General features: G+C 39.7%; 1 protein-coding gene across 3 annotated transcripts in view, besides 1 other annotated feature; it reads left to right on the plus strand.

Annotated features, from left to right (window-relative positions):
• Positions 1–10,548, plus strand: part of RLF (RLF zinc finger) — a 79,535-nt gene extending 68,987 nt beyond the window's left edge. For 2 of the 3 annotated variants that reach the window (NM_012421.4, XM_047427055.1), the window contains 2 exons: positions 1,144–1,285; positions 5,419–10,548. In NM_012421.4, coding sequence (NP_036553.2) covers positions 1,144–1,285; positions 5,419–10,074 — 4,798 coding nt within the window. In that variant the 3' untranslated portion in view covers positions 10,075–10,548. The remainder of the gene's footprint in view (positions 1–1,143; positions 1,286–5,418) is intronic. The other variant, XM_047427057.1, reaches the window with a different exon arrangement.
• Positions 11,434–11,483: an enhancer, noted in NCBI's record as "active region_833". NCBI's record gives its function as "activates an Ori minimal core promoter by ATAC-STARR-seq in GM12878 lymphoblastoid cells {active_cell/tissue: GM12878}" and the evidence as "EXISTENCE:reporter gene assay evidence [ECO:0000049][PMID:35858748]".

Here is a 12,270-nt window from a genome sequence, read left to right on the forward strand (position 1 = left end):
TAAAAGAGCCACATGTATTAAGTGATAGCATTCTTTTTAGTTTAGTGTTTTTTTTGTTTGTTTGTTTTGTTTTTTTGAGATGGAGTCTTGCTCTGTCGCCTAGGCTGGAGTGCAGTGGCGCTATCTCAGCTCACTGCAACCTCCACCTCCCAGGTTCAAGCGATTCTCCTGTTCTCAGCCTCCCAAGTAGCTGGGATTACAGGCATCCACCACCACACTCAGCTAAGTTTTATATTTGTAGTAGAGATGAGGTTTCACCATGTTGGCCAGCCTGGTTTCGAACTCCTGACCTCAAGTGATCTGCCCCCCTTCACCTCCCAAAATGCTAGGATTACAGGCATGAGCCACCCGCCATGCCCGGCCTCTTTTTAGTTTTGCTATTAGAAGTGATAACATTCTTTTTAGTTTCACTATTAGCTTTCCTTGCATTCACATTTTACATTCTCTCATTAGCATTTCTATCCTTGGCATTGTTGAGTTTCTAATGCTTTTTTGCGTGAGTGTTTTACCCATTAAATGTTTTTGTTTAATTTATTATTTTCAAGCTTTCCTTTTGTTTCCATAATGAATCTTTGTGAGATTCCTGTATTTTAGCCATTTCCAAAAAGTGCCATTTTACTTATTTCACTGGAAGTATTTAACCATTCCAAACTACAGGCTCTAAGTAGCATCCTGACATTTTAGATCTGGAAAGGGCCCTTTAAGATCACTGTATAGAAGTGTACCATTAGAGTGTCTTTGTTGTATATATATTTCGTTGTTAATTTAGTGATGGCTGATTATTTCTGCCCATTAGGACAGGGCTTAATTCAATCAGTATATTAATCACCAGTGTGAAGGATAAAACCTTTTAGAACAACATGGGATCTAAATAAGTTTTTTTTAAATGCCACTGTTAAGGAGGTAGTGTTTTGTTTTTATTTTTCCCCCTAAACACAAGAGAGAAGTCAGGGAATTGTTACGGAGGATTCTTAACAATTTTATCAGTTTGGGAGAAAGCAGTGGTGAATATAGACAGCTTTTAATCTAGTTTTTGTTTTCTCTACTGTCAGCTTTCTACAGATCAAAAAATTGGGTTGCCGGGGGCAGGGCAGCAAATACCAGTTACTTTAAATGTTTTACCATGATCTTCTTTTTTTATAGGGAACTGACTCTTTTTTGGAGTAAACTGCAAAGAAGAATTGACCCTTCTTTAGATACTTTTTTGGAGCGCTGTCGTCAGTTTGGTGTCATAGCTAAAACGCAGCAGCATTTATTTTGCCTCATTAGAGTTATACAAACTGAAGTGAGTACTTTATGCCTTCTCTGCTAACTGTAGCTGGAGGAAAGAAATGAGTGGGAAGATAACTTCTCAGGAAATTCCCTTTAAAGGAAGATAAGAAATAATGAGTTTTAATAAGATTAATGGAATTGACCACATCTGACTGTTTCTCCAGATTGACTTCCTATAATTAATCAGAAACAAATTGATGGTCAAACAAGTTAGGTGATATTTATTTCTAATTACTGTGAATGAAGTTGTGTCTCCTGTCACGTTAAGAACATTTTAAGAGGCCAGGCACGGTGGCTCAAGCCTGTAATCCCAGCACTTTGGGAGGCCAAGGCGGGTGGATTACTTGAGCTCAGGAGTTCGAGACCAGCCTGGCCAACCTGGTGAAACCCCGTCTCTACTAAAAATACAAAAATTAGCCGGGCATGGTGGCGGGCGCCTGTAATCCCAGCTACTTTGGAGGCTGAGGCAGGAGAATCGCTTGAACAGGGAAGGCGGAGGTTGTGGTGAGCCAAGATTGCACTGCTGCACTCCAGCCTAGGTGACAGAGTGAGACTTGGTCTTTTTTTTTTTAAAAAAAAAAAAAAGAACATTTCAAGGTAACTATAGAACTTGCCTGTTTAAACAATTACTTTATAATTGGCCATTAGAACATTTTGTTTTGTTTAAATCTTTAATAAAGGTACTAATTTTCTATTGTTGAATAACATCACAAAAATTAATACTTAAAACAATGTCCGTTTTTATCAGTTCAGTTTTGTAAATCAGAAATCCAGCACAATGTGGCAGGATTCTCTTCTAAGATTATCATATTGGCTAAAATGTAGTTTGCCAGGCTAAGTTCTATCAGAGGCTCTGTGGAAAATCCACTTCAAAGCTTATTCTTATCGACAGGTTTCAGTTCCTGTGGTTGTAGGACTAAGGTTTCTGTTTTCTGGCTGGCTGCCAATCAGGGTCTGTTCTCAGGTGCTAGAAGCTACACTCAGTCTTTACCTCTGTTTTCAAGCAGCAAGGGTGCAACAAGTTGGTGCTTGAAACCTGACATCCTCCATCTCTGACTTTAGTTTTCAGTTTTTGGTTGAGACAGGTCTCGCTCTGTCACCCAGGCTGTAGTGCAGTGGTGCGATCATAGCTCATTACAGCTTCAAACTCCTTGGCTCAAGCAATCCTCCCGTCTCAGCCTCCAGAGTAGCTGAGATTGCAGGCGTGTGCCACTATACCTGGCTTTTTCTTTTTTGGCGGGGAGCAGTGGTAGATACAGGGTCTTGCTTTGTTGCCCAGACTGGTTCTGAACTCCTGGCCTCAAGCAATTCTCCCACCTCAGCCTTCCAAAGTGCTGGGATTATAGGTGTAAGCTGCCCCACCTGCTTGAACTTGGGAGGCAGAGGTGGCAGTGAGCCGAGATCACACCATTGCACTCCAGCCTGGGCGACAGAGTGAGACTCTGTCTCAAAAAAAAAAAAAAAAGCAAAGATTGAATGACTTGGCTATATCCTATGTGCGCTTGCAACAGTATGCCAAGTCACTCTTGATCCCTCACCTTCCTAGTTTAAGACCCACCAATTTCTTCAAAATTCAGCTCCACATTGCATATCCTGATTCACATTTATTCACTACTCCTTTCAGTAACTTTTTGGCATATCTGTTCAGAATATATAATAGTATTTCTGGTTACTTTTCTTTGAAAAATGTTGTTAGTGATTTTTCAAATGTTACCATCCCAGCCAGATTAGGCTGTTTAAGAAAGAATGGCCATTCTTTGCTGTCCACCTCACAGTCTTCCAAAAGGAGTTAGTAACTTGTTGAGAAACTGAATTATTTTAAAATTTAGCTGACTTTCCCCAAGTCCTCTCTGCTCTTACTTACAAATGATAAACTTCTATCACATCATCCTAATAAGTCAAGAGACCCATGGTCTAGTCCTGTGGAGCCACTAAAGCAACATGGCCTGTTTTACTTGGACTACATTCCAAATGAGAGGGAGAAACTTCTATATTCTTTAGGCCACTACTGTTGTGGGAAGTCTGCCACTCACAACAGAACCAGATCCTAGCTGATACAGGCTAGGTAATGCCTCTCTTTCAAAAAAGCTAGAGTCTCAGCTCGTCTGAAAGGTAGGGAGTTATCTCAATTGATTGTTCACAGTCAGTTACAGACTGAACTCTGTTCTACTCTTTCCCCCTTCTCACTATTACACTTGACTAGTTTTAAAGAAAAAAAAGTTGGAGTCTCAGTTTGCAAGGGATTCTACACTCACTCACTCCCTTTTCACCTACCAGTCCACATCTCTTCTACTCTTCAGGCCAAATATCTTCTTTTTTTTGAGACGGAGTCTCACTCTGTTGCCCAGGCTGGCATGCAGTGGCGTGATCTCAGCTCACTGCAACCTCCGCTTCCCAGGTTCAAGGGATTCTGATGCCTCAGCCTCCCAAGTAGCTGGGGCTTTGGGCCTGCATCACCATGCCTGGCTAATTTTTTGTATTTTTATTAGAAATGGGGTTTTGCCATGTTGGCCCTGCTGGTCTTAAACTCCATGCCTCAAGTGATGTGCCTGCCTCGGCCTCCCAAAGTGCTGGGATTACAGGTGTGAGCCACTGTGCCCGGCCTAAATGCTTTTAAGTCCTTGCTCCTCTGCTCACTAGTTAGTGACATTGGGCAACTTAACGTTCTGAGTGTTGGGGGTTTTTTGTCTATAAAATGAGGATAATACGTGCAAAAAAGTTTATTTCAAATAAGTGCCTAGGCTGTAGTAGGGGTTCTGTAAATCAATGACAGTGATTTCTTTGTGTTCCCAGCATTTAGAATGAATGATGCCCAACACAGAATTAAATGCCTGGCAAATTGTTTACTGATTTAAACAGTGGAATTTACTCCATTATTTTACATTGTATTCTGTTAAATAGTTACAATGTGCCAGCGTTATTATTTCATCTTTATAACCTTAGGAGGAAAATCTGTTATTAACATTACTGTTATCATTTTACCAATAAGGAAACTGAAGTTTAGAGGTTGAGAACTTGTCACTTGTTGTGAAGCTGGGGTTCAAAGGCAGTCAAAGTCTGATTCTAAAGTCTCTGCTCATAGCAGTGCGTTTTAAGCCACTCTGACATATCTTGCTTTTCTTTGCTCATGTCATTTTTGTATTTTATTTCAGCCTCTCAGATAAAAAGAGTTATCTTGTATGTACCAAGCTTTTATCACATATGACCAGGTCTTCCTAATTTTAAACTAGTTTCTGAGAACCTGCTGCCATAGCAAGATTTCTGATTTCTGTTTTTTCCCTGGAAAGCTGAGATTCAGTACACCTGTGACGGTGACTATAAATTACCAGATTCTTTCAGGAGGAAATGGAAAGGATCATTTATTTTATCTTTGAAGTTTTGAAAAATCCAAGTGTTCATGATAGAGAGAATTTTTTTTTTTTTTTTTTTTTTTGAGACGGAGTTTTGCTCTTGTTGCCCAGGCTGGAGTGCAATGGTGTGATCTTGGCTAAACTGCAACCTCCACCTCCTGGGTTCAAGCGATTCTGCTGCCTCAGCCTCCGAGTAGCTGGGATTACAGGCATGCACCACCACACCTGGCTAATTTTGTATTTTTAGTAGAGACGGGGTTTCTCCGTGTTGGTCAGGCTGGTCTCAAACTCAGGTGATACACCTGCCTCGGCCTCCCAAAGTGCTGGGATTACAGGCGTGAGCCACCGTGCCCAGCCAAAGAGAATTTCTTAAATTGAATTTAATCTTAGACTCACATCTATACCTGTGTTTCCTGTTGCTGCCATTTTAAACCCTGCCCCTCTACTCAACATCATTCTATTTTGAATCCTCCAGTGACCTTTTTTATCCTGAATTTCTTTGGATTCACATGCATTTATTGTTTATGCATTCGGGGTACAGATAAATTCCTTGGAAGTAAGGAACTGCTTTAATACACAGTGCCTAGTAAATGTACATTGTTCGTAGTTGTAGCATCTAATTTAGTTCTTTGCATGTTGAGACAAGAAATATCTAAATGTAACTTTCATGAAGAAAGATTTAAGATAAAATTTAGGAACTCTAAAAGTTTTTACAAGCTAAAATTCCTTATCAGTGAAAGTTATATAATCTTTCTGTATGCAAAAAAATAATTTTTTTATCCTCTTTTACTTACAGGCACAAGATGCTGGTCTTGGGGTGTCAATTTTACTGTGTGTCAGAGCTCTTCAACTCAGATCAAGTGAAGATGAGGAAATGAAGGCATCAGTTTGTAAAACAATTGCCTGTCTTTTACCAGAAGATTTAGAAGTTAGACGAGCCTGTCAGCTTACAGAATTCTTAATTGAACCCAGTTTGGATGGATTTAATATGTTAGAAGAACTATATTTGCAACCAGATCAAAAATTTGATGAAGAAAATGCACCGGTTCCAAATTCTCTTCGATGTGAGCTCTTACTAGCTTTAAAAGCCCACTGGCCTTTTGATCCTGAGTTTTGGGACTGGAAAACTTTAAAACGACACTGCCACCAACTTTTAGGACAAGAAGCCTCAGATTCTGATGATGATTTAAGTGGCTATGAAATGTCCATTAATGACACAGATGTTTTAGAGTCATTTCTCAGTGACTATGATGAGGGTAAAGAAGATAAACAATATAGAAGAAGAGATTTGACAGATCAGCATAAGGAGAAAAGAGACAAAAAACCTATTGGCTCTTCTGAAAGATATCAGAGGTGGCTTCAGTACAAGTTTTTCTGTTTGTTATGTAAGCGGGAATGTATAGAGGCTAGAATTCTTCATCATTCTAAGATGCATATGGAAGATGGAATTTACACCTGTCCAGTTTGTATTAAAAAATTTAAGAGAAAAGAAATGTTTGTTCCTCATGTGATGGAGCATGTTAAAATGCCACCAAGCAGAAGGGACCGCTCTAAAAAGAAATTACTGTTAAAAGGCTCTCAAAAGGGTATTTGTCCTAAGAGCCCCTCTGCAATCCCAGAGCAAAACCATTCATTGAATGACCAAGCCAAAGGAGAGTCTCATGAATATGTCACATTCAGCAAATTAGAAGATTGCCACCTGCAAGACAGAGATTTGTATCCATGTCCCGGTACAGACTGTTCCCGTGTGTTTAAGCAATTTAAATACTTAAGTGTGCATCTTAAAGCTGAACACCAAAATAATGATGAAAATGCCAAGCACTACTTGGATATGAAAAATAGAAGAGAGAAGTGTACTTACTGTCGACGACATTTTATGTCTGCTTTTCACCTTCGAGAGCACGAACAAGTGCATTGTGGGCCTCAGCCTTATATGTGTGTATCTATAGATTGCTATGCTAGGTTTGGATCAGTAAATGAACTACTTAACCATAAACAAAAGCATGACGATCTGCGTTACAAATGTGAATTAAATGGCTGTAATATTGTTTTCAGTGACTTGGGACAGCTTTACCACCATGAAGCACAACACTTTAGGGATGCATCTTACACATGCAACTTCCTTGGCTGTAAAAAGTTCTATTACTCCAAAATTGAATACCAGAATCACCTCTCAATGCATAATGTTGAAAATTCAAATGGAGACATAAAGAAATCAGTGAAACTTGAGGAGTCTGCAACAGGTGAAAAGCAAGATTGTATTAATCAGCCCCATCTACTTAACCAAACTGATAAATCACATTTACCTGAAGATCTTTTCTGTGCAGAATCAGCTAATTCTCAAATAGATACAGAAACTGCAGAAAACCTGAAAGAAAACAGTGACAGTAATTCTAGTGATCAGTTAAGTCATAGCTCTTCAGCTTCAATGAATGAAGAGCTAATTGACACACTAGATCACTCTGAAACTATGCAGGATGTATTGTTATCTAATGAGAAAGTCTTTGGGCCCTCCAGTTTAAAAGAAAAATGTTCCAGTATGGCAGTTTGTTTTGACGGGACTAAGTTTACCTGTGGTTTTGATGGCTGTGGTTCCACATACAAAAATGCAAGAGGAATGCAGAAACATTTACGGAAGGTTCATCCATACCATTTCAAGCCCAAAAAGATAAAGACGAAAGATCTGTTTCCCTCTTTGGGTAATGAACATAATCAGACAACTGAAAAGTTGGATGCAGAACCTAAACCCTGCTCAGATACAAACAGTGACTCCCCAGATGAAGGTCTAGATCACAATATTCACATTAAATGTAAACGAGAACATCAAGGTTATTCCTCAGAATCCTCCATTTGTGCTTCTAAAAGGCCCTGTACAGAGGATACCATGTTGGAACTTCTGTTACGCTTGAAACATTTAAGCTTGAAAAACTCAATAACACATGGATCTTTCTCAGGGTCATTGCAGGGGTACCCATCCAGTGGTGCTAAGTCTCTTCAGTCAGTTTCATCTATCTCAGACCTTAATTTTCAGAATCAAGATGAAAACATGCCAAGTCAGTACCTTGCACAGTTGGCGGCTAAGCCGTTTTTCTGTGAGCTTCAAGGATGCAAATATGAATTTGTGACCAGAGAGGCTCTGTTAATGCATTATCTTAAAAAGCATAATTATTCAAAAGAAAAAGTCCTTCAGTTAACCATGTTCCAACATCGGTATTCCCCATTTCAGTGTCATATTTGCCAAAGGTCATTTACAAGAAAAACACACCTTAGGATTCATTATAAAAATAAACATCAAATTGGCAGTGACAGAGCAACTCACAAACTATTAGATAATGAAAAGTGTGATCATGAAGGCCCATGTTCAGTAGATAGGTTGAAAGGTGATTGTTCTGCAGAACTTGGAGGTGATCCCAGTAGTAACTCTGAGAAACCACACTGTCATCCTAAAAAGGATGAATGTAGTTCTGAAACAGATTTGGAATCATCTTGTGAAGAAACAGAAAGTAAAACATCTGACATTTCATCACCAATAGGCAGCCATAGAGAAGAACAAGAAGGAAGAGAGGGCAGAGGTAGCAGGCGAACTGTTGCTAAAGGAAATCTGTGTTATATTTTGAATAAATACCACAAACCATTCCATTGTATTCATAAAACTTGCAACTCCTCATTCACCAATCTAAAAGGCTTAATTCGCCATTACAGAACTGTACATCAGTACAACAAAGAACAGTTATGTTTGGAGAAAGACAAAGCAAGAACCAAAAGGGAACTTGTCAAATGTAAAAAGATATTTGCTTGCAAATATAAGGAATGTAATAAACGCTTCCTGTGTTCCAAAGCTCTTGCTAAGCACTGTAGTGATTCTCATAACCTAGACCATATTGAAGAGCCTAAAGTACTTTCCGAAGCTGGATCTGCAGCAAGGTTTTCTTGTAACCAGCCTCAGTGCCCTGCTGTTTTTTATACATTCAACAAGTTGAAGCACCACTTGATGGAACAGCATAATATTGAAGGGGAAATACATTCAGATTATGAAATTCATTGTGATCTTAATGGCTGTGGCCAGATTTTCACCCATCGCAGTAATTACTCACAACATGTATATTACCGACATAAAGACTATTATGATGATTTGTTTAGAAGCCAGAAAGTAGCAAATGAGAGACTACTAAGGAGTGAAAAGGTATGTCAAACAGCTGATACTCAGGGGCATGAACATCAGACCACCAGGAGATCATTTAATGCTAAGTCTAAAAAATGTGGCTTAATCAAAGAAAAGAAAGCCCCAATAAGTTTTAAAACCAGAGCTGAGGCCCTCCATATGTGTGTGGAGCACTCTGAGCACACACAGTACCCCTGCATGGTTCAAGGATGCTTATCTGTGGTGAAGTTGGAGAGCAGCATTGTGAGGCATTACAAACGCACTCATCAGATGAGTAGTGCCTATTTAGAGCAACAGATGGAGAATCTTGTTGTTTGCGTTAAGTACGGTACCAAAATTAAGGAGGAACCCCCTTCTGAAGCAGATCCCTGTATAAAGAAAGAAGAAAATAGAAGCTGTGAATCAGAGCGCACAGAACACAGCCATTCCCCGGGTGACAGTAGTGCACCCATCCAGAACACTGATTGCTGTCATTCAAGTGAAAGGGATGGAGGTCAGAAAGGGTGCATAGAAAGCAGCTCAGTATTTGATGCAGATACTCTGCTCTACAGGGGAACTTTGAAATGTAATCATAGTTCCAAAACCACTTCCCTAGAACAGTGTAATATAGTTCAGCCTCCTCCTCCTTGTAAAATAGAAAATTCCATACCTAATCCCAATGGGACTGAAAGTGGGACTTATTTCACAAGTTTCCAGCTGCCTTTACCAAGGATCAAAGAATCAGAAACTAGGCAGCATAGTTCAGGGCAAGAAAACACTGTAAAAAATCCAACCCATGTCCCAAAAGAGAATTTTAGGAAACATTCACAGCCCCGGTCATTTGATTTGAAGACTTACAAACCTATGGGATTTGAATCTTCATTTCTGAAATTTATTCAGGAAAGTGAAGAGAAAGAAGATGATTTTGATGATTGGGAGCCTTCAGAGCACTTAACATTAAGTAATTCTTCACAGTCCAGTAATGATTTAACAGGGAATGTTGTGGCAAATAATATGGTGAATGACAGTGAACCTGAAGTTGACATACCTCATTCTTCCAGTGACTCTACAATTCATGAGAACCTGACTGCAATCCCACCTTTAATAGTAGCTGAAACAACAACAGTTCCTTCCTTGGAAAACCTGAGGGTTGTATTGGACAAAGCATTAACAGACTGTGGAGAGCTTGCCTTAAAACAGCTTCATTATCTTCGGCCAGTGGTGGTTCTTGAAAGATCTAAGTTTTCCACACCAATTTTAGACTTATTTCCAACAAAAAAGACAGATGAGCTTTGTGTAGGAAGTTCATAAGTAGCAATTTTGTTTTAGTAACAGACTGGCTCCAACACTGCAACATGGGGACATTTGCCAACTCGAACAAAGGCTGAGAAGCAGCCACACCGTTGTTTAGGGTAGAATAGGCTGTGTATTTACATGAATGTATAATATCTATGTCAGCAGTATTGGCTGAGTCCATTAGCTCTCCAGTTGGTTTAATGATTGGGTTTATTTTTGTTTGTTTGTTTATTAAAAAAATGGAACTGTACACTTGTTTGGTGCTAATTAATACATCAAAATATACTGGGGCTTCCTTTTTCAAATTAAGTGTGCATGATTGTATATGGAACAAATACTAAGGTCCCAGGGTGGGAGGGCTAGGGAAAGGGATATGGAGTTCTTACTTGACTTGAATGTGCACCTGAGGGTGCTTTGTGTAATATATTGTACACTACAGCATCTTATATTTTTTGAGTTGAGTTTCAATAAATTACAATTTTTCACCCATTCGTTGTTTACTCATAATGAGCTTTCATGCCACATGTAAACTGAAATTGCACTTGTATTTTCTGAAATATGCCATTCACATTTTACCCCAGTAATTTTTTTATTTATTATTAGCTAAATCATTCAGAACAAGGTTCTTTTTTTTTTTTTTTTTTTTAAGACAGAGTTTCGTTCTTGTTGCCCAAGCTGGAGTGCAATGGTGCAGTCTCGACTCACTGCAACCTCCTCCTCCCAGGTTCAAGTTATTCTCCTGCCCCGGCCTCCCAAAGTGCTGGGATTACAGGCATGAGCCACCGTGCCCATCCCAGAACAAGGTTCTTTTTATCTTAAAATTTTTGTTTTTGTGGAAAGATAATTCTGAGATTAATTAGCTGCGGGAGTCAAGATAGCTCCCAGAGGATGTCCAGATGTTGGCCGAGTAGAAAGGAGAGGATATGCCAACCTAGAACATGAAGGACGTAGCAAATTCAGAGGGCATGTTTCTAGGAAACTACAAATAATTTGATATGCTGGCAATAAAAGGGGAACAAGAGAGTGACATCATTGTAGAGATAGCAGGAACTAAATCATGAAGACTAAGGAGTTTGGATTTGAGTCTATAGGCATATATCAGTTGAAGTGTGGAGTGCTCACTTGATTTGAGAAGCTGAAATTGGAAACAGTATACTTGAAGTAATTGAGGCAAGCTTGGTGAGTGTATTTACTGACAATTGCAGCAGAAGGCAGAGTAGATGAAGTATTTAAGGAGACAGGATTTTGGGGGCTTGGAGAGTGAAGGAAAAGATTTGGTACTGATGCAACCATTTTAAGTAGGTATACAAAGAAGGAATGAATATTTGGGAAGATAATGGAAACCAAGGTGAGTTTGGCTTTTAGATGTGTTGAGTTTCATTGGACTGTGGGATGTCTGTCTAATGAGGATAGCAGTATATCCTTTTAATACAGCAGCTTCATTTCCTGTTGCTTGTGAAGTTTTCAACTACTTTCATTAGCTAGTAATGAAGTGACTCAGACAACTAACATCTCTTTCTCATCCTTGTGGTTAGATTTTTTTTTTTTTTCAACGGAGTCTTGCTTTGTCGCTCAGGCTGGAGTGCAGTGGCGCGATCTCGACTCACTGCAACCTCCGCCCCTCCAGGTTTAAGCAGTTCTCTGCCTCAGCCTCCAGAGTAGCTGGGATTACAGGCTTGTGCCACCACGCCCGGCTAATTTTTTGTATTTTTAGTAGAGACAGGGTTTCACCATCTTGGCCAGGCTGGTCTTGAACTCCTGACCTCGTGATCCACCCTCCTCGGCCTCCCAAAGTGCTGGGATTACAGGCGTGAGCCACCACACCCAGTCTATTGTGGTTAGAATTTCAAGACCTTTTCTCTGACTCTTAAACCTTATTTTCTTGTTTTGTCAGCTCTTCAGGAATTTCATTCTGTCACCTCACCCTGAGTCTAAAGCACTCCCATAACCAAGTCGTTTATTGTCTCAGATCCCAGTAGGTAACAGAGGATTCTGAGAAATCCAAGTGATCTGAGTAAGACTCTGTTGAAAGAAGTGGCAGAAACAAGGATCTTAGAGACTGAGACCAGTATTGTTTCTTTGGAATCAAGCTAATTTCTTCAGTGGCTTTAATTTCCTCACTTACGAAGGGAGGAGGTAGAGGTGAAAGGTCCCTTTTTGTGATATGAGCATGAGAAGCACCTGTAGGCCTAGTAAAAATTCCTCATACGA

This window comes from Homo sapiens, chromosome 1 (genome assembly GCF_000001405.40).
Source record: "Homo sapiens chromosome 1, GRCh38.p14 Primary Assembly".
Lineage (NCBI taxonomy): Eukaryota > Metazoa > Chordata > Mammalia > Primates > Hominidae > Homo > Homo sapiens.